The sequence below is a fragment of the Homo sapiens genome, chromosome 16 (assembly GCF_000001405.40).
Source record: "Homo sapiens chromosome 16, GRCh38.p14 Primary Assembly".
In the NCBI taxonomy this organism is placed as follows: domain Eukaryota; kingdom Metazoa; phylum Chordata; class Mammalia; order Primates; family Hominidae; genus Homo; species Homo sapiens.
Window position 1 is genome coordinate 88,422,801 of NC_000016.10, and position 27,602 is coordinate 88,450,402.

At 63.9% G+C, this 27,602-nt stretch overlaps 1 protein-coding gene and 1 long non-coding RNA gene across 3 annotated transcripts in view, besides 5 other annotated features; one reads left to right on the forward strand and one right to left on the reverse strand.

Moving 5' to 3' along the window:
* The window catches only part of ZNF469 (zinc finger protein 469), a 339,823-nt gene extending 321,870 nt beyond the window's left edge, over positions 1-17,953 (forward strand). For both annotated transcript variants that reach the window (XM_047434810.1, NM_001367624.2), the window contains 2 exons: positions 2,007-2,071; positions 4,545-17,953. In XM_047434810.1, coding sequence (XP_047290766.1) covers positions 4,671-16,532 — 11,862 coding nt within the window. In that variant the 5' untranslated portion in view covers positions 2,007-2,071; positions 4,545-4,670 and the 3' untranslated portion in view covers positions 16,533-17,953. The remainder of the gene's footprint in view (positions 1-2,006; positions 2,072-4,544) is intronic.
* On the reverse strand, positions 734-7,562 carry LOC112268182 (uncharacterized). The gene is made up of 3 exons (XR_007065178.1): positions 7,472-7,562; positions 7,164-7,322; positions 734-3,466 (listed from the first exon to the last, which is right to left on the reverse strand). It is a non-coding gene; the product is annotated as an uncharacterized LOC112268182 (long non-coding RNA).
* Positions 7,796-7,955: a silencer, noted in NCBI's record as "silent region_7847". NCBI's record gives its function as "represses an Ori minimal core promoter by ATAC-STARR-seq in GM12878 lymphoblastoid cells {active_cell/tissue: GM12878}" and the evidence as "EXISTENCE:reporter gene assay evidence [ECO:0000049][PMID:35858748]".
* Positions 10,204-10,704: an enhancer, noted in NCBI's record as "H3K4me1 hESC enhancer chr16:88499412-88499912 (GRCh37/hg19 assembly coordinates)". NCBI's record gives its function as "activates a minimal SCP1, AML or CMV promoter by ChIP-STARR-seq in naive H9 embryonic stem cells {active_cell/tissue: H9 hESC(naive)}" and the evidence as "EXISTENCE:reporter gene assay evidence [ECO:0000049][PMID:30033119]".
* Positions 14,650-14,799: a silencer, noted in NCBI's record as "silent region_7848". NCBI's record gives its function as "represses an Ori minimal core promoter by ATAC-STARR-seq in GM12878 lymphoblastoid cells {active_cell/tissue: GM12878}" and the evidence as "EXISTENCE:reporter gene assay evidence [ECO:0000049][PMID:35858748]".
* Positions 20,323-21,188: an enhancer, noted in NCBI's record as "H3K27ac-H3K4me1 hESC enhancer chr16:88509531-88510396 (GRCh37/hg19 assembly coordinates)". NCBI's record gives its function as "activates a minimal SCP1, AML or CMV promoter by ChIP-STARR-seq in naive H9 embryonic stem cells {active_cell/tissue: H9 hESC(naive)}" and the evidence as "EXISTENCE:reporter gene assay evidence [ECO:0000049][PMID:30033119]".
* Positions 24,697-24,933: a silencer, noted in NCBI's record as "fragment chr16:88513905-88514141 (GRCh37/hg19 assembly coordinates)". NCBI's record gives its function as "represses an EF-1alpha promoter that drives an FKBP-Casp9 reporter gene in an ReSE screen in phorbol 12-myristate 13-acetate-treated (for megakaryocytic differentiation) K562 erythroleukemia cells {active_cell/tissue: K562(+PMA)}" and the evidence as "EXISTENCE:reporter gene assay evidence [ECO:0000049][PMID:32094911]".

The window sequence follows — 27,602 nt, forward strand, 5'->3', positions numbered from 1 at the left end:
TGGACAGATGGGCAGATGGGTGGGTGGGTGATGGATGGGTGGATGGATGGATGGATGATGATGATGGATGAGTGAATGGATGGATGGATGGATGGACGGACAGACGGACGGATGGGTGGATGGGTGATGGATGGGTGGATGGATGATGATGGATGAGTGGATGGATGGATTAATGGATGGATGGATGGATGGATAGATGGATCAATGGGTGAGTGGGTGGGTATCTGGATGGATGGGTAGGTGGGTGGATGGATGGGTAGATGATGGATGGGTAGATAGATGGATGATGATGATGATGGATGGATGGGTGGATGGATGGATGGATGGATGGATAGATGGATGGATGGGTGGGTTGGTGGATGGATGGGTGGGTGATGGATGGGTGGGTGGATGGATGGATGGGTGGGTAGATGGATGGATGGATAGGTGGGTGGATGGATGGATGGATGGATAGATGGATGGATGGGTGGGTGGGTAGATGGATGGATGGATAGGTGGGTGGATGGATGGATACATGAACAGATGGATGGGACAGTGTGGCAAAGGCTTTACTGCTAAGTCCCAGTGGCTTCCTGCAGTTCTTCACCCTCCCTGGGCCTCAGTCTATACATCTCTGGGTAAGGACATGCTTCCTCCTGTGACACAGTGACTCACATTAGGGCCTCTGGGTTCTCTACATTGCTAGGAGGGGCATGAGTTACGGTTGTCTATTGCTGTATCATAAAGAACAGACTGAAACAACAAACCTTTATTATCTCTTAGTTTCCAAAGGTCAGGATGCAGGCACAGCCTAGCGGGTGGTTCTGGCTCAAATTCCCTCACAAGGTTGCGGTCAGAATGTCAGCAGGGGCTGCAGCATCATCCAAAGGCCCAACGGAGTCTGGGGAAGCCACTTCCAAGATGGCTCCCTCACACAGCTACAGGCAGGAGGCCTCTGTTCCTCACCTCATGGCCTCTCCACGGGGCTGCTTGAGTGCCCGGAAAGCATGGCAGCTGCTTCCCCACATGTGTGATCTAAGTGTGCAAGGAGGAAGCTGCAGTGCCTTTTAGGGCCCAATCTTGAAGTCCAGCACCCCTCCTTCCAGCATATTCTGTTCATTAGCAGTGAGGCGGTAAGCTCAGCTGTGTTCAAGTGGAGAGAATGAGGCTCCACCTCTTGAAGGGAGGAGTGTTAAAGAATGTGTGGCCATATTTTAAAACCATCACGGAGACTGACAATTGGACAATCTCCTTCCAAAGTCAAACGCAGGTGCCCTTTGACGCAGCTAGGCCCACAGCGTTTGGAGCACAGGCTGTCGCCATGTGGTGACCATTGCTGTATTGTTTCTAAGGGCCGAATGCAGGCAGCAGCCCAGTGTCCATCCAGACAGGTCTGGGTGCTCTGCAGCCTGGATGCGAGGACGAGTGGACAGAGAGTGAGAAACCTCTTCACGGAATGTTGTGGGATTATCTACAGGATATGTTGTTACATGAAAAAAAGGTCAGGTGCAGAACAGTGAGCGTAGCCGACGATCTTCTGTTGAAGGAAGGAGGAAAGGCAGTGTGTGTTCCTGTGTGCTGGTGTTTGCATCCAGGGACTCTGGGAGGAAACACCAGAAGCTCCTCTAGTCTCCCCAGCGGGACTGGGGAGGGATCCTGGCAGGGATGGGAGGGGCAGCGTTCTCACTGCAACTCGTAATAATCTGGAGCTTCGGAGCTGCATGTACACACAATCTATGCGTACATAAAGACCCAACAAAAAGAGATTTAAGATAGCCGTCAAAGCTGCAGCTGAGGCAGCCAGGTGACCCCTAAACCCTTCAGGGTCCCCCGGGCCAGCTGAGCTGCCCGCTGGCCTCTGAGGGGAGCTCACCCATCTCCCGGTGGCTCTTGGTGGCTTCCCGGTGCCCTGAGGCCACAGCCGGCTCTGCCCAGGAGCCGCTCCCTCCCACCTGGCTTCTCCTCGGGCTCTTGGTCCAGAGCCATGCACCACATCGGCCCTGACATGCTTTCCATTTTCTTTGCAGCCAAGAAATTCTCATTCCTCAGGAAGTTGTGCGGCGACCCAGCTGAGGGGCCCCCGACTCCCCAGGTATGTACAGGCAGCAGCCTGCACCGAGGCTGGCCACAGATGCTCTGGTCTTGATGGTCCTGAGGCCCCCTCCGCCCCCACCCGCCCGGCCTTCCTCTCCCTCTCAGGACAGTAACCGGGCCTGCCTACTGCCTCCCGAGAGCCGACTCCTGGGGCCCGCCGGGCAGGGCTTCCAGCCACAGCTCTGAGCCAGCAGGCGGGCGTGTCACCTGATGTTCCTCATGGCAGCCGCTGAGCCAGCAGGCCTCACTCCTTCCCTTGATAAATCAGACCAGCTCCTTCCCTTGACAAAGCCCCTGGGCACAGCTGTGTTCTCAACACTCCTCCCCACCATCCAGGACTCCGTAAAGGCCACCTCCTCCAGGAGGCCTTTATGATGCTCCATCTGGGCTGAGGTCCCCACTCTGAGCCCCCTCCTCCTCCATCACCTCCTGGAGGACTCTGGCCATGGGTAGGGGGGTCTGACATGTGGGACTGGGCTTCATGTGGGGCCTGGCTGTTGCTGTTCCTACCCCCAACCCTGCAGCCTGGCCCCAGTGGGTGTCTGGGCCATGTGGGACATGGCTAAGCCCAGTGCAGGGCAGGAGATGTGCAGGGCAGGAGATGTGCAGGGCAGGAGATGTGCAGGGCTAGGAGCCAGCCCTCCCAGGAGGACCTCGCCTACACTGGCTGAGGCCTTGAGCGGGTTCCCCACCTCTCTGTGCCTGGATTCCTCACCCATAAATTCAGGGCGACAATCACAGATCACCTCTGAGCCACCGTGAGCACAAGGGAGGCAGTTCAGGAAAGTGCTCAGACGCCCAGCATCATTTATTCACTCAACAAACCTCACCTGTGAATCCTGGCCCCAAGGACTCCCAGGCCTTTGCCCCCTGGCAGTGGATCCCAGAAGAGGGAAAGGGGCCCTCCTCCCGGGGTCATGGGACAGGAGGTACCTCAGTGGTGGGGGCAGAGGAGGAAGGGGCACCCGGGCCCCCCAGCTGGCATGACTCTTTTTGGTGGTGTGATGTGGAGTTTGCAGGCTGGGACCTCGCCCACCCTGGAGACCTTGGCCCAAATTGGGCAGGACCCTCCTCCCCGGTGCAGGCAGTCCCTGGGCACAGCAGGAAGAGCCAGCCGGAAGTACAGGTACCAACCTCGTGCTGGGGACAGAGGGCCTGCCAGCCTCTGCGTTAGGAGTCCCCAGGCGGCTGTAGTGCGGGAACTCCGGGAGGGGCATGAGACACCACCAGCTCAGGCCGGTGGGAGGGTCCTGTGACCTCAGGAGGCAGCCCCCGCCTCCACAGAGGCAGCAGGGTCTCTGAGAGTGCTCCAGGCCTGAGGCCTGTCCCTTCAGCTCCCAGCTGCTCTGCTGCTGGCTGTGTGACCCTGGCCAAGTCATCCGCCTCTCTGGGCCTGCCATGAGGACCCAGGGGTCAGTGGCAAGGACAATGCCTGCAAGGGCTGAGCCCTGCCTCACTCTGCTGTGTAAAGGACGCCCGGTCCCTGCTGGGCAAGTCAGAAGGGGCCCCCACACGGAGCGGCCTGCGCACCTCGTGGCCACAGCCAATGGCTCGGGTCTGAGTCCTGTCCGCACAGAGGACAGTCCCGTATGTCATGACATGAGAACAGACATGATGAGTGTGAAGCCAGCCCTGGGTGAGCAAGGGGCCAGGCTCCTCTGGGCAAGCGGCTCCTGCTACATCTGGCATGTGCCAGAATGGGAGCCGGCACCGTCTGGAGGCTGGGGGCTTCCTGGAGCAGGATCTGGAGGTTACCCTGTAAGGCCTGGTGGCAGGGAGACCCTGGCTGACGGCAGGATCTGGAGGTTACCCTGTAAGGCCTGGTGGCAGGGAGACCCTGGCTGACGGCAGGATCTGGAGGTTACCCTGTAAGGCCTGGTGGCAGGGAGACCCTGGCTGACGGCAGGGGAGTCCCCGCTTGGAACCAGCCGCCCAGGCCCTGAGAGGTTCAGGTTGAGCCTCTGCTGCCTCAGTCCCCTATGTCCTGCAACGCAGCCTCCTGCCTCAAGGCCCTCCCCATGGCAGGTGTAAGCATCCACCTGGGCCCTCCTGGACGCTGCCAGGACCCTGCCCTGGGGCAGTTCCTGCAGGCTGAGAGCTTGTGCCCCACACAGGTGCCTGTCCTCTCCACAGCCTGGCCGAGGACTGCTCTGAGCCTGTAAGCGGCCTCCTCACACCCCAGAAAGCTCCCCCTCCCTCCCCCTCCACTCAATCTCTGCGCTCCACCGCCCCTCTTCTCCCTAAGACAGGGAAGGGTCCCTGTTCCATCTGGCGGGATGCCCTCTCCCTTCCTGCTTCTAGGTAGGGGCTGAGCCGAGCATCCCTTCTAAGCGCGGAGCTTCTGTGATGGCTGCACGCAGCCTCTTCTGCTTCTGGCCCGGCCACACCCGCATGGAGAGCCTAGAAGCTCCCTGTCTAGGCGAGGGCCACCCAGCCCCTCTGCCCCACTCACCCCTGACCTTTCCTTCCAGGCTCCACTCAGGACCATGAGCGCAGGCTTCCCTGGGGCCCATCGAGGGCTGAGGATGGCCGTCCAGCCCACTCCCCAGGGCCCCCCTCGGACAGCTGCGTCGTCCTAGCGCCAGGACGGAGGGGCCATGCCTGGGGAGCGCCCCCGAGGAGCGCCGCCCCCCACCATGACTGGAGACCTGCAGCCCCGCCAAGTTGCCAGCAGCCCGGGGCACCCCTCCCAGCCGCCACTGGAGGACAACACCCCAGCTACCAGGACCACCAAGGGTGCCAGGGAGGCTGGCGGCCAGGCCCAGGCCATGGAGCTCCCCGAGGCCCAGCCAAGGCAGGCCAGGGACGGGGAGCTCAAGCCCCCATCCCTGAGAGGCCAGGCCCCGAGCAGCACCCCTGGGAAGAGGGGCAGCCCCCAGACCCCACCGGGGAGAAGCCCCTTGCAGGCTCCCTCAAGGCTGGCGGGCAGGGCAGAGGGCAGCCCCCCACAGCGCTACATTCTGGGCATCGCCAGCTCGAGGACCAAGCCCACCCTGGACGAGACACCAGAGAACCCACAGCTGGAGGCTGCCCAGCTCCCTGAGGTGGACACCCCCCAGGGCCCTGGGACTGGAGCTCCACTCAGGCCGGGCCTCCCAAGGACTGAGGCCCAACCCGCCGCCGAAGAGCTTGGCTTCCACAGGTGCTTCCAGGAGCCACCCTCCAGCTTTACCTCCACCAACTATACCTCACCAAGCGCCACCCCCAGGCCCCCAGCCCCGGGGCCCCCCCAGAGCAGGGGCACCAGCCCCCTCCAGCCCGGTTCCTATCCCGAATACCAGGCCAGTGGGGCCGACTCCTGGCCTCCCGCTGCTGAGAATAGCTTCCCAGGTGCTAATTTCGGGGTTCCCCCCGCCGAGCCGGAACCTATTCCCAAAGGCAGCAGGCCCGGCGGCAGCCCCAGGGGAGTTTCCTTCCAGTTCCCCTTCCCGGCACTGCATGGGGCCAGCACAAAACCCTTCCCTGCGGATGTGGCTGGGCACGCATTCACCAATGGGCCACTGGTGTTTGCCTTCCATCAGCCCCAGGGAGCGTGGCCGGAGGAGGCCGTGGGCACGGGCCCTGCCTACCCGCTGCCCACCCAGCCTGCGCCCTCACCCCTGCCCTGCTACCAGGGCCAGCCAGGTGGCCTGAACCGCCACAGCGACCTCAGTGGTGCCCTCTCTTCCCCTGGAGCTGCTCACTCGGCCCCGAGACCCTTCTCTGACAGTTTACACAAGAGCCTGACCAAAATCCTTCCCGAAAGACCACCTTCAGCCCAGGATGGGCTGGGGAGCACGAGAGGGCCCCCTAGCTCCCTACCCCAGAGGCACTTTCCAGGGCAGGCGTACAGAGCCAGTGGGGTGGACACCAGCCCGGGGCCTCCGGACACCGAGCTGGCCGCCCCAGGGCCCCCACCCGCCAGGCTGCCCCAGCTGTGGGACCCCACAGCAGCCCCTTACCCCACACCTCCTGGGGGCCCCCTGGCTGCCACCAGGAGTATGTTCTTTAACGGCCAGCCCAGCCCAGGCCAGCGGCTCTGCCTCCCCCAGAGTGCCCCCCTGCCTTGGCCCCAAGTGCTCCCGACCGCCCGGCCAAGTCCCCACGGAATGGAGATGCTGAGCCGGCTGCCTTTCCCCGCGGGGGGCCCCGAGTGGCAGGGGGGCAGCCAAGGAGCCCTGGGCACTGCTGGCAAGACACCGGGACCCAGAGAGAAGCTGCCAGCCGTGAGAAGCAGCCAGGGCGGCTCCCCAGCACTGTTCACCTACAACGGAATGACAGACCCTGGGGCTCAGCCCCTGTTCTTCGGGGTGGCCCAGCCCCAGGTTTCACCCCACGGGACACCCAGCCTGCCCCCACCGAGGGTAGTGGGAGCCTCCCCCAGCGAGTCCCCACTGCCGTCACCGGCCACCAACACGGCCGGCAGCACCTGCTCTTCCCTGTCGCCGATGTCCAGCAGCCCAGCCAACCCCAGCTCAGAGGAAAGCCAGCTCCCCGGCCCCCTCGGGCCCTCGGCCTTCTTCCACCCACCCACTCACCCCCAGGAGACGGGCAGCCCCTTCCCGTCCCCGGAGCCCCCCCACTCCCTCCCCACCCACTACCAGCCAGAGCCAGCCAAGGCCTTCCCTTTTCCCGCAGATGGGCTGGGAGCCGAGGGTGCCTTCCAGTGCCTGGAGGAGACCCCATTCCCCCACGAGGGCCCCGAGGTGGGTCGGGGAGGGCTGCAGGGCTTCCCCCGTGCGCCGCCTCCGTACCCCACACACCACTTCTCCCTCAGCAGCGCCAGCCTGGACCAGCTGGACGTGCTGCTGACCTGCAGGCAGTGTGACCGCAACTACAGCAGCCTGGCGGCCTTCCTGGCCCACCGGCAGTTCTGTGGCCTGCTCCTGGCCAGGGCCAAGGATGGCCACCAGCGGTCTCCAGGCCCCCCTGGGCTCCCCTCGCCCCCCGCTGCCCCCAGAGTCCCTGCCGACGCACACGCGGGCTTGCTCAGCCACGCGAAGACCTTCCTGTTAGCTGGGGACGCCCAGGCCGAGGGCAAAGACGACCCCCTGAGGACAGGCTTCCTGCCCAGCCTGGCCGCCACCCCCTTCCCGCTCCCTGCCTCGGACCTGGACATGGAGGATGACGCCAAGCTGGACAGCCTCATCACAGAGGCGCTCAACGGCATGGAGTACCAGTCGGACAACCCGGAGATCGACAGCAGCTTCATCGACGTCTTCGCGGACGAGGAGCCTTCCGGCCCCAGAGGTCCCAGCTCCGGACACCCCCTTAAGAGCAAGGCGGGGGTGACTCCAGAGAGCAAAGCTCCGCCCCCGCTCCCAGCAGCCACGCCGGACCCCCAAACCCCCCGCCCTGGGGACAGGGGCTGCCCAGCCCGAGGCAGGCCCAAAACGCGTTCCCTGGGTCTGGCCCCCACCGAGGCGGATGCGCCCAGCCAGGGCAGGCAGCAGAGGAGGGGGAAGCAGTTGAAGCTGTTCCGGAAGGATCTGGACTCGGGCGGCGCAGCAGAGGGGTCGGGGTCGGGCGGCGGCGGCAGAGCCTCCGGCCTGAGGCCCCGGAGGAACGACGGTCTCGGGGAGCGGCCCCCACCCCGTCCCCGGCGCCCTAGAACGCAGGCCCCCGGGAGCCGCGCAGACCCCGCGCCCCGGGTCCCGAGAGCCGCCGCCCTCCCCGAGGAGACCCGCAGCTCCCGGCGCCGCCGGCTGCCCCCCAGGAAGGACCCCAGGAAGAGGAAGGCTCGGGGCGGCGCCTGGGGCAAGGAGCTCATTCTGAAGATCGTGCAGCAGAAGAACAGGCGCCACCGGCGGCTGGGGCGGCGGGCGGGCAGGTGCGGCTCCCTGGCGGCGGGGAGGCCCCGGCCCGGAGCTGAGGACCGCAGGCTCCGCGAGTACGACTTCGCCTCGGAGTCCGAGGAGGACGAGCAGCCTCCGCCGCGGGGCCCCGGCTTCAGAGGCCGGCGGGGCCGAGGCGAGAAGAGGAAGGAAGTGGAGCTGACCCAGGGTCCCAGAGAGGATGAGCCACAGAAACCCCGGAAGGCGGCGAGGCAGGAAGCCGGCGGGGACGGAGCCCCCGCGAACCCCGAGGAGCCGGGCGGGTCTCGCCCGGGCCCCGGCAGGAGCCCTCAGGCCCGTGGCCCGTCTCGAAGCCTGGAGACGGGAGCGGCCGCCAGGGAGGGAGGCCCCAAGTGTGCTGATCGCCCCTCAGTGGCCCCCAAGGATCCCCTGCAGGTCCCCACCAACACCGAGACCTCAGAGGAAACCCGCCCGTCGCTGGACTTTCCCCAGGAGGCCAAGGAGCCTGAAACTGCCGAAGAGTCAGCCCCGGACAGCACAGAATTCACAGAGGCTTTGCGTTCTCCTCCAGCCGCCTGTGCGGGAGAAATGGGAGCAAGCCCCGGTCTCCTGATACCAGAGCAGCCGCCGCCCAGCAGACATGACACCGGCACCCCCAAGCCGTCGGGAAGCCTCGCCAACACGGCGCCCCACGGAAGCTCGCCAACGCCAGGTGTGGGCAGCCTGCTGGGTGGTCCTGGGGGCACACAGGCCCCAGTCTCCCACAACAGCAAGGACCCCCCTGCCCGCCAGCCTGGAGAATTTCTGGCACCCGTGGCTAACCCCTCAAGTACCGCCTGCCCCAAACCCAGTGTTCTGTCTTCAAAGATCTCCAGTTTTGGCTGTGACCCTGCTGGTTTTAACAGAGACCCCTTGGGGGTTCCAGTTGCCAAAAAGGGGCCTCAGCCCTACAGCAGCCCCCACAGTGAGTTGTTCCTCGGACCCAAAGACCTGGCTGGCTGTTTCCTGGAAGAACTGCACCCCAAGCCCTCAGCCAGGGATGCCCCGCCGGCCAGCAGCTCCTGCCTTTGCCAGGACGGCGAGGATGCCGGTTCCCTCGAGCCACAGCTGCCAAGGAGCCCACCTGGCACCGCTGAGACGGAGCCAGGCAGGGCTGCATCGCCACCGACCTTGGAGTCCTCATCCCTCTTCCCAGACCTGCCGGTGGACAGATTCGACCCACCCCTCTATGGCAGCCTGTCTGCGAACAGGGACTCCGGTCTGCCGTTCGCATGTGCCGACCCTCCCCAGAAGACGGTGCCGTCAGATCCACCGTACCCCTCTTTTTTGCTGCTTGAGGAAGTATCCCCGATGCTGCCTAGCCATTTTCCTGATCTCTCGGGGGGAAAGGTGCTCAGTAAGACGTGTCCCCCTGAACGGACAGTGGTTCCCGGCGCCGCCCCATCTTTGCCTGGGAAGGGGAGTGGATGTAGCGTTGCTCTTATGAGTCACCTGTCCGAGGATGAACTGGAGATCCAGAAATTGGTCACCGAATTAGAAAGTCAGCTGCAAAGGAGCAAAGACACACGTGGGGCCCCGAGAGAGCTTGCAGAAGCTGAGTCGGTGGGCAGGGTGGAGCTCGGCACAGGCACAGAGCCACCCTCCCAACGGCGCACCTGCCAGGCCACCGTGCCCCACGAGGACACGTTCTCGGCAGCTGACCTCACGCGCGTTGGAGAATCCACTGCACATCGGGAGGGTGCGGAATCGGCTGTGGCCACCGTGGAAGCGGTTCAGGGGAGGCCTGGGGGGACGTGGCCCTGCCCAGCCTCCTTCCATCCGGGACATGCAGCCCTTCTCCCCTGTGCCCAGGAAGACCTGGTTTCTGGGGCTCCTTTCAGCCCCAGGGGAGCCAACTTCCATTTTCAGCCAGTGCAGAAAGCCGGAGCCTCCAAGACTGGACTTTGCCAGGCAGAAGGAGACAGCAGGCCCCCCCAAGATGTCTGCCTGCCTGAGCCCAGCAAGCAGCCTGGCCCACAGCTGGATGCCGGGAGTTTAGCAAAGTGCAGCCCCGACCAGGAACTTTCATTTCCTAAGAATAAGGAGGCCGCCAGCTCACAAGAAAGTGAAGACTCCCTGCGGCTGCTTCCCTGTGAACAGAGAGGAGGGTTCCTCCCAGAGCCCGGCACAGCAGACCAGCCCCACCGAGGGGCCCCTGCTCCAGAAGCTTTTGGCAGCCCTGCTGTCCATCTGGCCCCTGACTTGGCATTTCAGGGTGACGGGGCTCCACCTCTGGATGCCACCTGGCCTTTTGGTGCCAGTCCCAGCCATGCTGCCCAGGGACATTCTGCAGGCAGAGCAGGTGGGCACCTCCACCCCACGGCAGGGAGGCCTGGCTTTGAGGGTAATGAGTTTGCACCGGCGGGGGCCTCCTCACTGACTGCCCCCCGGGGCAGGGAGGCTTGGTTGGTCCCTGTGCCAAGTCCCGCCTGTGTATCCAACACCCACCCTAGCAGGAGGTCCCAGGACCCAGCTTTGAGCCCCCCCATACGTCAGCTCCAGCTCCCAGGGCCTGGAGTGGCTAAGAGTAAAGATGGCATCCTGGGCTTGCAGGAGCTGACACCTGCTGCCCAGAGCCCTCCACGAGTGAACCCCTCAGGTCTGGAAGGGGGCACTGTGGAAGGAGGGAAGGTGGCCTGTGGCCCCGCCCAGGGCTCCCCAGGGGGTGTGCAGGTGACAACTCTCCCTGCAGTGGCCGGACATCAGCTGGGGCTGGAGGCAGATGGACATTGGGGCTTGCTTGGCCAAGCCGAGAAAACCCAGGGCCAAGGCACAGCCAACCAGCTTCAGCCAGAGAACGGGGTGAGCCCAGGGGGCACGGACAACCACGCCTCAGTCAATGCCAGTCCCAAAACAGCGCTGACCGGCCCCACCGAGGGTGCAGTCCTGCTAGAGAAATGCAAGGGAAGCAGGGCAGCCATGAGCCTTCAGGAGGAGGCCGAGCCCACCCCAAGCCCCCCGTCCCCTAATAGGGAGTCCCTGGCGCTGGCCTTGACAGCAGCCCACAGCCGAAGTGGATCTGAGGGCCGGACTCCAGAGAGGGCGTCCAGCCCCGGCCTGAACAAGCCACTGCTGGCCACAGGGGATAGCCCAGCACCCTCTGTCGGGGACCTGGCCGCCTGCGCCCCCTCACCCACTTCAGCCGCCCACATGCCCTGCAGCCTTGGGCCCCTGCCCCGTGAAGACCCACTTACCTCGCCTTCCAGGGCCCAAGGTGGGCTGGGGGGGCAGCTGCCAGCATCTCCGTCCTGCAGGGACCCTCCCGGCCCCCAGCAGCTGCTGGCCTGTTCTCCTGCCTGGGCACCTCTGGAAGAGGCAGATGGCGTCCAAGCCACGACAGATACTGGGGCTGAGGATTCCCCGGTGGCTCCCCCGTCTTTGACAACAAGCCCCTGCGATCCCAAGGAAGCCCTGGCTGGTTGCCTTCTCCAGGGGGAGGGCAGCCCCCTGGAAGACCCTTCCTCCTGGCCTCCTGGCTCCGTCAGTGCTGTAACCTGCACTCACAGTGGGGACACCCCCAAAGACAGCACTTTAAGAATTCCAGAGGATTCCAGAAAAGAGAAGCTGTGGGAGTCTCCTGGCCGAGCCACCTCTCCTCCTCTGGCAGGGGCCGTCTCCCCCAGCGTGGCCGTCAGGGCTACTGGCCTGTCCAGCACTCCCACCGGAGATGAGGCACAGGCAGGCAGGGGACTCCCAGGGCCAGACCCCCAGAGCAGGGGAGCCCCGCCCCACACCAACCCTGACAGGATGCCCAGGGGCCACTCCTCGTATTCTCCAAGCAATACTGCCCGCCTCGGCCACAGGGAGGGCCAGGCTGTCACAGCTGTGCCCACTGAGCCTCCCACGCTACAGGGTGCAGGGCCGGACTCCCCCGCCTGCCTGGAAGGTGAGATGGGGACCAGCAGCAAGGAGCCGGAGGACCCAGGGACCCCTGAGACCGGGCGCTCTGGTGCTACCAAGATGCCCAGGGTCACCTGCCCTTCCACAGGACTGGGCTTGGGAAGAACCACAGCCCCAAGCAGCACAGCCAGTGACTTCCAGTCTGACTCCCCCCAAAGCCACAGAAATGCCTCCCACCAGACTCCCCAGGGGGACCCCCTCGGCCCCCAAGACCTCAAACAGAGGTCCCGTGGCTATAAAAAGAAGCCTGCATCTACAGAGAACGGCCAGTGGAAGGGCCAAGCTCCACATGGGCCTGTGACCTGTGAGGTCTGCGCAGCCTCCTTCCGCTCCGGGCCGGGCCTGAGCCGGCACAAGGCCAGGAAGCACCGGCCACACCCGGGAGCCCCCGCGGAGCCGAGCCCAGCGGCCTTGCCTGCTCAGCAGCCTCTAGAGCCCCTAGCCCAAAAGTGCCAGCCGCCCAGGAAGAAAAGCCACAGGGTGTCTGGGAAGGAGAGACCAAATCACTCACGGGGAGACCCCAGCCACGTCACCCAGCCACCGCCTGCCCAGGGCTCAAAGGAGGTTCTCAGAGCACCGGGGTCCCCACACAGCCAGCAGCTGCACCCTCCAAGCCCTACTGAGCATGAGGTAGATGTGAAGACTCCGGCCTCCAAGCCCAGACCAGACCAGGCCAGGGAAGATGAGCTGCATCCCAAACAGGCAGAAAAAAGAGAAGGCCGGAGGTGGCGCCGAGAGCCCACCGTGGACTCTCCTAGCCACTCAGAGGGGAAGTCAAATAAGAAAAGGGGAAAGCTGAGAGGGAGAAGGCTCCGGGAGGAGAGCATTCTTCCAGTCTCTGCTGATGTGATTTCAGATGGGCGCGGCTCCAGACCATCCCCTGCAATGGCCAGTTACGCAGCCTCTCCGAGCCACTGCCTCTCTGTGGAAGGAGGGCCTGAGGCTGACGGGGAGCAGCCGCCTCGCTTGGCCACTCTGGGACCTGGGGTGATGGAGGGTGCAGCGGAGACTGACCAGGAGGCTCTGTGTGCAGGGGAGACTGGGGCCCAGAAGCCACCTGGAGATCGGATGCTGTGTCCAGGGAGGATGGATGGTGCAGCTCTGGGGGAACAGCCAACTGGGCAGAAGGGAGCCTCGGCAAGGGGGTTCTGGGGACCAAGAGAGACCAAGGCGTTGGGTGTGTGCAAAGAGTCTGGGAGCGAGCCTGCGGAGGACAGCAGCAGGGCCCACAGCCGATCAGAGGAAGGTGTCTGGGAGGAGAACACGCCCCCCTTGGGCCCCCTGGGTTTTCCCGAGACTTCCAGCTCTCCGGCGGACAGCACCACCAGCAGCTGCCTCCAGGGCCTCCCGGACAACCCAGACACCCAGGGTGGAGTCCAGGGGCCTGAAGGCCCCACTCCTGATGCCTCTGGCTCCAGTGCCAAGGATCCTCCAAGCTTGTTTGATGATGAGGTCTCTTTCTCCCAGCTCTTCCCTCCAGGCGGTCGCTTGACTAGAAAGAGGAACCCGCATGTCTACGGGAAGCGCTGTGAGAAGCCGGTGCTCCCGCTGCCAACCCAGCCCAGCTTTGAGGAGGGCGGTGACCCCACGCTGGGCCCAGCCCGCCTGCCCACGGACCTCAGCGACTCCAGCTCCCTCTGCCTCTGCCATGAGGACCCGTGGGAGGACGAGGATCCCGCAGGTCTGCCCGAGTCCTTCCTCCTGGATGGGTTCCTCAATAGCAGGGTGCCTGGCATTGACCCCTGGGCCCCCGGCCTCAGCCTGTGGGCCCTGGAGCCCAGCAGGGAAGCTGGTGCAGAGAAGCTGCCCTCCCACTGCCCCGAGGACGATCGGCCGGAGGCCATTCCTGAGCTGCACATGGTCCCAGCGGCTTGGCGAGGCCTGGAGATGCCGGCCCCTGCCGATGACTCCTCCTCTTCTCTCGGAGATGTGAGCCCCGAGCCCCCCAGCCTGGAGAGAGAACGCTGTGACGGTGGGCTTCCCGGGAACACCCACCTGCTGCCGCTCCGTGCCACGGACTTTGAGGTGCTCAGCACCAAGTTTGAGATGCAAGACCTGTGCTTTCTGGGACCCTTTGAAGACCCCGTGGGTCTCCCCGGCCCCAGCTTCTTAGACTTCGAGGGCACGGCGAGCTCACAGGGGCCACAGAGCCGAAGGACAGAGGAGGCTGCAGGGGCAGGGAGGGCCCAAGGCAGAGGCCGGCCGGCCAAGGGCAGGCGGGCCTCCTACAAGTGCAAAGTGTGCTTCCAGCGCTTCCGCAGCCTGGGCGAGCTGGACCTGCACAAGCTGGCCCACACGCCCGCGCCGCCGCCCACCTGCTACATGTGCGTGGAGCGCAGGTTTGGCTCGCGGGAGCTGCTGCGGGGGCACCTGCAGGAGAGGCACGCGCAGAGCAAGGCCGGGCCCTGGGCGTGCGGCATGTGCCTGAAGGAGGTGGCCGACGTCTGGATGTACAACGAGCACCTGCGTGAGCACGCGGTCCGCTTCGCCCGCAGGGGGCAGGCGCGGAGGTCCTTGGGGGACCTGCCCGGAGGCCTGGAGGGCAGCAGCGCTGTCGCCCACCTTCTGAACAGCATCACGGAACCCGCGCCCAAACACCACAGGGGCAAGCGCTCCGCCGGCAAGGCCGCCGGGAGCCCGGGAGACCCGTGGGGGCAAGAGGGAGAAGCCAAGAAAGACAGCCCGGGCGAGAGGGCGAAACCCCGGGCACGCAGCACCCCCAGCAACCCAGACGGGGCCGCGACCCCAGACAGCGCCTCTGCCACCGCCCTGGCTGACGCCGGCAGCCCGGGCCCCCCCAGGACGACCCCCAGCCCGTCCCCCGACCCCTGGGCCGGCGGGGAGCCCCTCCTGCAAGCCACCCCGGTGCACGAGGCCTGCAAGGACCCCTCCCGCGACTGCCACCACTGCGGGAAGCGCTTCCCCAAGCCCTTCAAGCTGCAGCGCCACCTGGCGGTGCACAGCCCGCAGCGCGTCTACCTGTGCCCCCGGTGCCCCCGGGTCTACCCCGAGCACGGGGAGCTGCTGGCACACCTGGGCGGGGCGCACGGGCTGCTGGAGCGGCCGGAGCTGCAGCACACGCCGCTGTATGCCTGCGAGCTCTGCGCCACGGTTATGCGCATCATCAAGAAGTCCTTCGCCTGCAGCTCCTGCAACTACACCTTCGCCAAGAAGGAGCAGTTCGACCGCCACATGAACAAGCACCTCAGGGGGGGGCGGCAGCCCTTCGCGTTCCGCGGCGTGCGGAGGCCGGGAGCGCCGGGACAGAAGGCCCGGGCCCTCGAGGGCACACTGCCCAGCAAACGGCGCAGGGTGGCCATGCCCGGCAGTGCCCCTGGGCCCGGCGAGGACAGGCCTCCTCCCCGGGGAAGCAGCCCCATCCTGAGTGAGGGCTCTCTCCCGGCCCTGCTCCACCTGTGTTCGGAGGTGGCTCCCAGCACCACCAAGGGATGGCCCGAGACCCTAGAGAGGCCTGTAGACCCCGTGACCCACCCGATCAGAGGTTGTGAGCTGCCATCCAACCACCAGGAGTGTCCCCCGCCGTCTCTGTCTCCCTTCCCAGCTGCCTTGGCTGATGGCAGAGGAGACTGCGCGCTGGACGGAGCCCTGGAGAGGCCAGAGAACGAGGCTTCCCCAGGCAGCCCCGGGCCTCTTCTCCAGCAAGCTCTCCCTCTGGGGGCATCTCTGCCGCGGCCGGGAGCCAGAGGCCAAGATGCGGAGGGAAAGAGGGCTCCTCTCGTGTTCTCAGGGAAACGCAGGGCCCCGGGTGCCCGTGGCAGGTGTGCCCCTGACCATTTCCAGGAAGACCACCTACTTCAGAAAGAGAAGGAGGTGTCCTCAAGCCACATGGTGTCTGAGGGGGGGCCCCGAGGCGCCTTCCACAAGGGCAGCGCCACCAAGCCTGCGGGCTGCCAGAGCTCATCAAAGGACAGGTCGGCAGCATCCACCCCCAGCAAAGCACTCAAGTTCCCAGTGCACCCAAGGAAGGCGGTGGGGAGCCTGGCACCCGGGGAGCTGGCCCGTGGCACAGAGAATGGGATGAAGCCCGCCACCCCCAAAGCCAAACCCGGCCCCAGCTCCCAGGGCAGTGGAAGCCCTCGCCCCGGCACCAAGACAGGAGGTGGCAGCCAGCCCCAGCCAGCCAGCGGGCAGCTCCAGAGCGAGACAGCCACCACCCCAGCCAAGCCCAGCTTCCCCAGCCGGAGCCCTGCACCAGAGAGGCTCCCCGCTCGAGCCCAAGCCAAGAGCTGCACCAAGGGGCCAAGGGAAGCTGGTGAGCAGGGGCCCCACGGGAGCCTAGGTCCCAAGGAGAAGGGAGAGAGCAGTACGAAGAGGAAAAAGGGCCAGGTCCCAGGGCCAGCCAGGAGTGAAAGTGTGGGGAGCTTCGGGAGAGCCCCCTCAGCCCCTGACAAGCCCCCCCGGACCCCTCGGAAGCAGGCAACTCCCAGCCGCGTGCTCCCGACCAAGCCCAAGCCCAACAGCCAGAACAAACCCAGGCCGCCACCATCAGAGCAGCGGAAGGCAGAGCCGGGCCACACACAGAGGAAGGACAGACTGGGCAAGGCCTTCCCCCAGGGGAGACCCCTGCTCAGGCCCCCCAAGAGGGGCACAGCTGTCCACGGTGCTGAACCTGCCGAGCCACACACCCACCGGACGGCCGAGGCCCAGAGTGACCTCCTCAGCCAGCTCTTCGGGCAGAGACTAACTGGCTTCAAAATCCCTTTAAAGAAAGATGCTTCCGAGTAATTTCTAGGAGCAAGAGCCTGGGACCGGAGCTGGGCGTTCCTGTCTCGGCCTGCCTCCTTGGCCAGCTCCGGCTCCCTGAGATGGTCCACTCTGTGGCCACTTGACTTCTTGTGCAACTGCTCAGGCCTTGATGTCAGAGCTGAGGTGGTGATGCTTTGAACAGGGCCCAGGTGGGCAGCATTCCCTTTCTTGCTGGAAGGCTGGGGGTGAAAGACGGGGCCACTGCAGCCCTTTTGAGACCACACAGCTGTTTTCTTGGTACCAAGTACTTGAAGAGACAGCAGCCCATCCCCTCAGCCCACACCCCTGCGCCCTGTGGGCACCGACACCACAGAAGCCAATGTTTGGAGATTTGCACAACCTCCCGTTCCCCCACATGGAGAAGGGAAGTAAGTTGAGGCAGCCGTGGGATGGTGGTAGGTTCCCTCTTAGTCTTGCTGCTGTTGCTGGAATTCCAAAGTGACCTTAGAAACCACGTGGGGGAAGGCAGTGCTCACTACTTAGAAGGGTTGCTTCTGAGCCGCCTGGTCCCCCAAGAGCACAACAGGCCTCCTCCCTCTGACCACAGGGTCATGCCTCCTCCCTCTGACCACAGGGTCATGCCAGCCTCCATTTGCTCTGCGGGAGAAAAGCCCATCTCTAGCACACCTTGACCCCAGGAACCGGGTTCCCGTATGGAACTGGGAAGAAACCGCCCCTGTGCCAGCTCCCGCGGGCCCTCCTCGTTCCCTCCCAGCCTCCATGGCCGCCCTCTAGAGCCTCCCTGCTGTACGGAGCTCTGGGCTCCGCCTATTTGCAATGTTACTCTGAAGTTTCTGGTGCTATTTTTGTGTTGTAATGTGAATACAGGCTTCCTTGATTTTTTTTTTTAATGGGGGTATTGGGTGGGACAGACGGGGTCAGGGAGGCCCCACCATGGCTTGTCGAGGGCACGGGCACCTGCATGGCGGCGCTCTCCCTGCCTCCCCTGCCGGGCTGCAAGCCTGAGGTCTGTGCTGCCAGACGGGGATGCTCAGGGCTGGGGCTGCAGAGCCGCTGCCCTGGCCAGGGCACCCTCATGCACCGACCCAACCCAGGCCTGGGACGCACGTGTCCTCTCACAGCGTCGTGCCTGTGAAGGTGGGTCAAAGGGTGAGAGGGCTTCCTTCTCACCCTTCTCTCCATAAGTATCTTGAAGATCCATGGTTTGTTTTGCTCTATTGTTTAGTTTTTACTTGGGTGCAATGTGTACGTCAAAAGTTTTTATTTTGATATTTGAAAGAGACCAAATCAGGCCCAGACCGCCTCTCTGGAAGGTGTTGTAGGCCATTCAAAACGCCTCCGGAGTGTCGCAAACCAAGTGCGGAGGGGCCCTGAGGTTGTACTGTAAACATCATAGTGACTTGTCTTTTCAAATATATTCCCACTATTTTCGCAGAAAACCTCCAGCTGCGTGACGTCTGTCCTCCCGCCGGCCCCCATCCCTGGTCTGCACCTCCCTGAGCCTCAGAACTTGGCTCCCAGGGTGTCTGCGCCAGCTGCCACTCTCGGGCCACCGTGGGCCAAGGGCCCAGCCGGGGCTGCGGGACCTCGTGCAGGACCCAGTGATGCAGCCATGGCTGTGTCCTAAGAACACCCCTTCAGCAGTGGGTGTTCCAGGTTTTCCAGAAAGGGGCAAGCCCACCCCGGCCATCCTCACTGAGGACCTCCCCCGCCCCCAGGAGGAACACACCACCCCTTCAGCAGTGGGGGCTGGCCCAGGTTTTCCAGAAAGGGGCAGGCCCACCCCGGCCATCCTCACTGAGGCCCCCCCTCACCCCCCAGGAGGAACAGACGGGAGGCTGAGGTGCCCTGGCGCCCCTCCCCCACATCAGAAGCAGCCCGGGGGACCCAGGGAGCGATGGGGCTGGGCTGAGGGAGGATAGGCGTGGGGACTGGGCTCTGCCACCCTCGGGCCTCCCCCCAGGCACCCGTCTGGTGTGAGTTTTCCAGCCTTCACATGCCAGGACGCAGCCCTCCCAGGCTGGGGAGCCAGGCCCCCTCACCTACCCAGAGACGCAGCCTTGTCCGCCTTGTCCCCTCCTCTCTCCCACACTCGGGTCCCTGAAGGTGTCCACACGTCCCTGCCTCAAAGCCTGCTCCCTCATGGCCCTTCCAAGCTTCTCCTGAGACTGTCTTCTGGAATGTTCTGTGGAAGTGCCTGCCACTGACCATCAAGGCATCCTCTCATCTTCTTGGCCAATGGACTTGGTCAGCTTTCACCCCTCCCCCAGGTGGGCGCTGGGCCTCCCCTGCTTTCCACTTGTTGCTGGCGGAACTCACACCGTAAGGGCGTCTGCGAAGGGGCCCAGCGTGGGGAGGGCAGCGCCTGTCCTCAAAGCCCTGCTCTCGGGGTGGATGTCGGACACCGTCATGCCAGCTGCAGGGGCTGGGGGCATGGGGAGCTCTAGACCCCAGCAGAACCTGGGCGGGATCTTACAAATGATTCCCAGCGGGGCAGCCACACCTTCCTGCTTGTTAACACACGGAGATCATGAGGCCGTCAGCAGCACTGCCTCAGTCTCCCGCTCTGTTTCCAAAACTTCCTGGCTCCGGGATGGGGTCCTCAGGGAGCAGAGTGGCTCCATTGAGGGAGCCGCAGGGAAGGGGCCAGGGCCGCAGGAAGAGTGGAACCAGGAGACCCTCCCCACCCAGCCTCCTGTGCCCTACAGCGCCCCTCAAAGATCCCAGTGTCCAGGAGACAAGTGACCCTCTCCAGTGAGGGTGGGTCAGAGTAGACCCCTGACTGGGCAGATGAGGAGGCTGCTCAGAGGAGGCCTCCAGCCCTCCCTGCCTCACCAGCCTTGCTTTCCTCCCCTCTTCCACGGGAAGCGGAGCTCCTAAATGAGACACCTTAACCGGGGTCTCACCACTTCCGTCCAAGCACACGGTGCCCCTCTTCCCTGGATAGAGGACAGATTCACCTGCGGCCTGCGGCTGTGGCCCACCCACCCCCACCGCCTCCCCACCCGCCAGGCGCCTGCCTGCAGGGTTCCCTTTGCCAGGAACACTGTTCCCAGGCCCGCACACGGCCCCTTCCCTCCTTTTGGGCCCCTCCCCTCACGCCCGCCGTCCTCTGCCTGGGTGGCTCTCTGCTCGGACACTGGTTTTGGGGTCTTCCCAGCCCTGATGGTGGCAGAGGCCACAAGGCAGCCTGGGCCAGGCCTGCCTGCAGGAGGGGCTGGTGAGTGGGGGTGTGGCCATCTGCCCACCCCCTTTGCTCACATTACCCCCCCACTGTGCAAGGAGCCTGGCTCAGGGAAGCCAGCAGACGCAGCCCCCAGGCGGGGCCTTCTGAACAGGTGCTGGTCTGGCACAGGGACTATACCTGGCGGGTGGCTTCATATCCAGGGAGGAGGCTCCGCAGGAGGCCCGTAGACGGGGGTTGGGGGGAAGGGCATGGAAAGGACCTTGCACCCCGCACAGGGCTCTGAGTTGGTGTTGGGGCAGCGGTGGGTCACGGGGCTGCCTGTCTGGGCTCGGTGTGTGAAAGGGTCCCATGGACTTCATGGGTGGAGACCCTTGAGGTCCCACCAGGTCTGCAGTCTGGGACACCCGCAGTGTGTCTGTTCAGCACAGTGTGTCTCAGGCAGGGCCCCGGCCGGCAGCATCCAGGGCACCCCACTCGGGTCAGCGGCTCTGGGACGGGCTGGGCACTCGCTCCCACCAGCCTCGGGGGCTGACGTTGGAGGGCCGCTGCTCTGAGCCATCTGAGGCCATGCTCAGGGACTGCCAGGAGTGAGCCCTGCCCCTGTCCACTCACCGCTCCTCCTGTGGGGCCTGAAACCACCGTTTGGCTGGAGACCCAGGATGTGGACGGCCCCCGCCTGGCCACCAGGTGGCAGCATTCGCCCAGCCAGGGGGTCCAGCCTCCACCTGGGCAGGGCGGCCGCCTGCAGCCTCCAGAGGCACCGCACCTGCCGACCCCACACCCACTTGACCTGCAAACCACCCACGTGCACACCCGGCACCTCCACACACTAAAGGGGACAGACAGGCGGGAATCCCTCGACTGCACACGTGCACACAGCACAGCCTCACCCCTGCGGACACCTGGGCATTCAGACGCATGCCCACAGGCACACACGCATGCACGCACGCACGCACACACGCCTACTCGGCCCCCGGGGTGCACTCAGGTGCCTGCCAGTCGCTCACACAGCCACAGGAGAGAGTGCTGCGGAGTCCCTGCAGGGTTCCCTGAAGGACAGGTGTTTGAGCTGGGAGCAGAGGAGCACTGGGCGTGAGCTGTGCAGGCCCTGTGGGGACCCCTGCAGAGGGAGTGGACACTGAGGCCCGGCCCTGTGCACAGCCAGGGTCACTGTCCACACCAGCCCTCCCCCTGGGCACAGTCAGGGTCACCGTCCACACCAACCCTCCCCCTGGGCACAGTCAGGGTCACCGTCCACACCAACCATCCCCCTGGGCACAGTCAGGGTCACCGTCTACACCAACCCTCCCCCTGGGCACAGTCAGGGTCACCGTCTACACCAACCCTCCCCCTGGGCACAGTCAGGGTCACCGTCCACACCAACTCTCCCAACCTGGGGACTCTGTCTCTCCCACCCAGGATTCTGAGGCCCAGTTTGCCCCAAGACTGCAGAGTCCCTCTGTGGCCAGAACCCCCAATGGGCTGCCCTGAAGCAGCAGGGGGAGGCAGGGAGGCTATGAGTATGCAGAGAGCTCCCATAGACAGCGGCGTTATTTCCCATCATCCACGTCTAGATTCCAAGGCCGCTGGGGAAGTGGGGTAGGAGAGAAGTGGGTGCCCTGGGCCAGGCTGAGGAGACAGAGGGGGCAGGCAGCCGTGGAGGAGACGCAGGCAGGGGAGCACATGCCAGGTGCCCTTGGGTCTCAGCCTGTGGGGCGAGGAAGCAGAGGGAGGGTAGGAGGGTGCCAGTGGTGAGTGGCAGGCCTGGCTTCATCCCCACACCCCACCGCACAGAGAGGAGGTATGCAGGGCAGGGTCAGGGGTTCCGCGGGATGGGGGCACACCCTCCTACCCTCCTCAGGGAACAGTTTACCGGGACGGTTTACTGGGAAACTCATTATTGAAAGCAGGCTCTCCTACACGCTCCTACACCTTGAAGCATCTGCTCTCCTGAGAAGATGTGTGGATGGCCAGGTTCACGCAGTGGGGAGAGGGGGATGGAGAGGGCCGGCCCCGGGGAAGGGGCTGTGTCCCAGTGACTTTGGGGCGGCTAATGTGGGGATTCCTTGAAACACCCCAGAGGTGATGGGACTTGGAGGCCCTGGAGCCCATGGGGAGCTCAGTCCTGCCCGTGTCCTCTGTCCACGTGCCACGTATGGGCCACAGAGATGCAGCTGAAGTTGGGGGCTCCAGCCCCAGTGTCTCCCCCTCCCAGCGCAAGGACAACAAGCAGGTCACGCCAGGTTCCAGCTGGGAAGCAGCGGGAGGCAGTTCCCAATTCTGGGTGGATCGCAGCCCCAGGACAGCCACGCTGAGGCCCAGGGGTGTCTGTCTTTCCAGGCCTGCCCTGGCCTGGGTCCCAAGCCCACGGCCCCTTTCCCCAATGCAGTGTCTGTCTCACTGACCAGCCGCGTGGCTGTGAGGAGAGGAGGCAGAGCTGGTCCTCCCCAAGGCCCGGGGCATGGCAGGGAGGTGAACACACTGCCCCTTGGCCTGCACTGCCCGAGAGAACCCCAGGCCTGCTTCTGGGCCCAAGGAGAGGGCAGATGTGTTCTGCCAGCACCAGGAGGTACCCAGGAGCAGCAGAGCACTGAGCTGGGGGCCAGAGGCCTCAGGCTGGTCACCAGCAACCCCCGACCGGGCCTCAGTTCTTCCATCTGTTAAATGGACGAAGTGACCAGCAACATCCTTTCCAGCCCTGGCTCCCAGCAGCTCCCTCTGAGAGCTCAATTCCAGGCAAGGAGCCGCGGTTCCCTGCGCCCGGCTGGATTTCACACTGCAGGCTCAGTTTCCCCTGTCTGTAAAACGGGCTCCATGAGACCTCCCGGGACTGTGGTGAGAAGGAGACGGCGTTTGTGAACTGCTGGCCTCACGCCAGGCAGTGGCGCTCTCTCTGTGAGGAGAGACGCACACGCTGCGGCTGGCGCCTTCCACACTGACCTGGGCCCCTGCGGCGAGGCTTGCGGAGTCAAAGTCATGCGGTGCTTCCTCGCCCCCCAGGGCCTGGCGCGGCTGGGGCCCTGCCCCTCTCCGACTCCGTCTCCCACCCTCTGTCTCGGTCATCTCTGGCTGCATGAAAAGCCACCCCGGCACTCAGTGGCTCGGAACAACAATCGCGTCTTTTGCTCACAAATCTACCATTTGGGCAGGGCTGGGTGGGCACAGCTCGTCTGCTGCCCGAGGCACCTGCTGGGGCTGGCGTCTCCGAGTGAGCTTCCACCCAACATGGTGATTGAGTTCCAACATCGAGGGTCCCGAAAGACGAGACCCAGACGCCGCCGGCCTCTCGAGGGCTGGGCTGGGAGCCGAAGTGGCGTGGCTTCCCGCACATCCTTCCGGCCAAGCAGTCACGGAGCCAAAATCCAAGACGGGGCCTGGGTCTCCCTGCCCGCACGGAGGTGTGTCACAGATCCGGGGGCCATGTTTTAAAACCATCACCGTTGCCCTCTGGCCACAAATTATTTGTATTCCACCCAGATGCAGGGCACACTCACCCCTCCAAAAGTCTCCCCAAAAGTCTCACCGTGTCTCAGCGTCAGGCTCAGGCCCGGGGCCCTGACATTTAGATAGGGCCAGGTGTGGCTGAGGCCATCGAGTCATTCCTCCGGTGAAGTATGCCCGTGCGTCGGGGTGCAGGGCACGGGGTGTAGGACAAATGCTACCAATGCCCCTGTCGGGAACTGGGAGGAGGGTGGCACATGTCCGTCACTGCCACAGGCGGTTCCGAAGCCCGGGCCCTGCCCCGTACAGTGACTGTGCTGTTAGCCCGGCCACCTGGGGCCTGGCTCTGCACTGGCGTGTCCTCTCCTCGAGGCGGCTGAGTCTGCCGTTCGGGGACCTCCCTCGCTCCCCTGCCTGGTGTCCTCTCCTCGAGGCGGCCGAGTCTGCCGTTCAGGGACCTCCCTCGCTCCCCTGCCTGGTGAAGGTCATGGGGTCCCGGGCCTCTTCACCCTCTGTGTTGTCTCCGCCTCCTTCCATCTCATCTCATGGTGCATCCACCAGAGCAAGGCCCCTTCGACCTTCATGGACAGACCCTTCTCCACTCTGCCAGCCGTGGCTGCTGTGTGGCCGAGCTCTTCCGATTCTGGAGGCCGATGTCCAGATGCAGCAACAGGGTCTTCCTGGGGCCAGACACGCAGTCTTGCAGCCACACCTTGGACCAGCTCCTCACTCTGAGGCCAGGGCTTCCTCCGAGCATCTTTCTCAGCGAGAGAGACTGGAAACGCGTGGCAGTTTTCTTTCCAGCCTGGCATATCCACACTCTCGCATATGGCTCCTAAGTTCTGCTTGAAAACCAAACAGGTCTTCCTGCAGCATCGCCTGGGACCAACCACACAGGCCACAGCCGCTTTCCATGTCCTGCCCGGGCCGTCCTCGCCATCGCGCACAGGTTTCCTGGCTCCTCATCGTGCCTCGGGTCCTGTGCCGAGAGCTTCCCCGGCGGTGCCAGAGGTGCAGCCACTGCGTCCCGCAGCTGTGCGCAGCCCCTGCCTCCGCTCACCCACGTTCGTCTGCACCATCTACGCCCGTGTCACAAACAGCCCCCAAGCTCGTGGCTGAAAACAGGACTGACGACGGACCAAGTTTCCACAGGTCGGCTGAGCGGACTGTCTTCTGGCCTCACCTGGGCTCATTCTGGCAGCTGCCACCCACCAGCAGGTCAGCAGGGGCAGGGCTGCACACCCCCCACCTCCAGGCAGTCTTTCATCCTCAAGGCCCCAGGTCAGGCGTCTTCAGGAAGCCGTGCATACACCTGCTCCGTGAGCCTCTGCTTGCCTCCGATTTGCTGGCGCTCCACTGACCGAAGTAGGTCACAGGGCCATGAGGTCAAGCCCAAGGTGGACAGAGATGGGGGAACTGAGCTGCAGTCCACAGCCTGCCTTGGCCACGTGCTGGCTCCCTCCTCCCGAAACCCTCCCCAAGTGTTACGGGGTCTCCCCTAGACACCTGGTCAGATGGCAACCCCCGCCCCACCTGATTTATAGCACATGGAAGCCCCCCGTGTCGTCTGCTGTCCACTCACTGCTGTTGGCCACCACCTCCGCCTGGCACAGTCCATCACACACAGTGACGACTTGTGTGTGTTCACTGCCTAATCTCAGTACCTGGGTTGGGAGCTCAAGACATATTTATGGATGGAAAGAAGGAAGGGAGGCCGGGTGCAGTGGTTCACGCCTATAATCCCAGCACTTTGGGAGGTGAGCGGATCACCTAAGGTCAGTAGTTCAAGACCAGCCTGGCCAACATGGTGAAACCCTGTCTCTACTAAAGATACAAAAATTAGCCGGGCATGGTGGCAGGTGCCTGTAATCCCAGCTACTTGGGAGGCTGAGGCAGGTAGAATTACTTAAACCCGGGAGGTGGAGGTTGCAATGAGCGGAGATTGCACCATTGCACTCCATTGCACTCCAGCCTGGGGGACAGAGTGAGACTCCTGTCTCAAAAAAAAAAAAGAGAGAAGAAGGAAGGGAGGGAAGAGGGGAAGAGGAGGAGGGAAGGAAGGAAGGAAAGGAGGGAGAGGAGAGAGGAAGGAAGGGAGTCCTATCTGTGATGTACATGACCCCCACTATCAGAGATTAAGAAATGTCCAGATAAGATTTCCTGTCTGCACTGGTATCACCTTGCCCCGCCGGATAAATGGGACAGACAGGCAGTTGCGTGAAAAGGTCACTCCCGGCTGATATCCAAGGACAGTCTCCAGGCAAGAGCCTGGCCATTGGCTCTTGGAGGGCAAAGCTTGTGAGACCCACAGGAGAGGGGCTTATCCAGCGTGCTCCCAGGCCAAGCCCGCTTTCTGCTGTCCCCGGATGTCTGATAGATCAGATGGGTCCCGGCTGAGGGTGGGACTGCCTGAGCCCCGTCTCCAAAGCCAGAGCCAGCCCCAGTGACAACAGGGCCACAGCAGCAGCAGCCCCTGCCCAGGGTGGCCCAGGCAGCATCCCAGAGCCAGCCAGACCACCCCCCATGGCGAGTGGCCTCCCGATTCCTAACTTAATTTATTTTGACATCTCCGCTGCCGCCTGACCTCCTTATGGAGTCATGTGGTATTTAAAACTCATTATCCCCCCCATTGAAACAGGAAGTTAATTAAACCCTTCACAGAGCCAGCTTTGACAAATGTCAGAATGGGCCCCTGGCACGGCTGCCCGGCGGCGCCAAGGCCTGGGGATGACTGGCAGTGGGGGAAGTGAGGCCCTGCCCGGGCGGGGACCACGGGAGAGGTCCTGGGGTCCCTTCCCCTCACTCAGCCACCCCTGTGCGTTTCAGAGCATGCGCGTCCCCGAGAGAGTCCTGCCCTGCGCTTCCCTGCTTTGCTGCTTCAGGCGAGTGACTTCCCCTCTCTGAACCTCTGTTTACAAATCTGGCAAATGGGAATTCTGACAGCTCCTTCTGCAGAGAGCTGCTGTGAGCAGAGTGTGCCGACATATGCAAATGTGCAGCCTGGCTCGGAAGGGCCCTCCGCAGTGTCTGCTGTGGCTGCTGCTGTAGGAGGGCAGCGCTGACTGCGGAAGAGGAGACAGCTGGGCCTGCCCTGCACTCTGGGACAGAGAGACCTGAGCCTGCCTGGGGCACTCAGTGGATTCCCTCAGGAGGGGTGGGCAGACCAGGCCAGGCAACGGAGGGAAGGGTGCACCCAGCAGCCCAATAGCTTGTGCCAAGGGGGACCGCTGGACCCACATACAGGGAGGCTCCAGGATGAAGGAAGGGCAGAGCCTGAGGCTACGACACATGGCTCTTAGGAGGCCCCGCTGGCTTCACCCTTCCATCAGGGACCAGCCAGGGTGGGGGAGAGTGGGCAAGATGAGGCTGATGAAGGTTTGGAGCAGGGTGGGAGGGGCCTCTCAGAGCCATAAGGAAGTGAAGTCACAGATCCTGGTGACAGGCCAGCTGTGGGGAGTGGTGGGAAGCAGACAGAGGAGTTGGGTGCAGCCTGGTTCCGAGGCCCTCACGTGGCCTGACCTCCAGGTGCACCAGCCCTGCAGCCACTGCGGTCCCTGGTCCACCCACCCCGGCCTCCAGCTTCTGCCCCTGCACCCTCTCCGCCAGAAATGCCCTTCTCTCTCCCATCACTCTTTTTTGATCATCCTCTTCATCCTCATCCTTCAAGGTCCAGCTTAAGTTCCTAGAACATTCTGTGGCTCCTTGAGTCACAGCTCAACAGTCGGCCTGGCACATAGGTGGTGCCACAATTAGCCCCTCACCCATCCACAGCTGCTGCCCAGCCCCGGGTGGCCTTCCTGAGCTCTCCCCGGGAGACTGCCGAAGAGGAGACAGGTGGGCCTGCCCTGCACGCTGGGGCAGCTCGGCACTGGCCCGTCAGAGGAGCCAGGTCCATGGCCGGTAGCCCACAGGTAGGAGGGAAAGTGGCAGAGCCAAGACTCGAACCCAGTTTTCCCAACGTCCCATTCAGGGTGAAGAACATGCGCTCTGGAGTGAGAGTTCCTGGGCTCCCTCCCAGCTCCAGCACTTCCAAGACGTAGGACCCCTGAAAAGCAACTGGTCCGCTCCAAGCCTCAGTTTCTGCATCTGTAATATGGTGGTAACTTGAGCCCCCACCCCAGCCAGTTGTGCAAAGGTGGCACGGACCTGGCACAGCCTGGAAGCACAAAGTCAGTGCTGTGCTGGTGATGCTGACACAGGTCCCGGAAAGGGGAGAGGAGGCTGGGGAGCTGGGAGAGGAGGCCATCTCAGAGTGCCTCCTCCCTTACCTCCAAATGTACAGGGTCGGCAACGCACAGGAGAACCTCCCCTGAAACCGACCCAGCATCAGGGGCAGGGCTGAGGCAGAGTAGAAGCATAGTAAGGCATTTGCCCCATCACACCCCTCTACTCCTAATAGAAGGCTGGAATTCCATGTCCACTGGCCCAGCCCACCCCTGCACACCCCCACTTCTCAAACC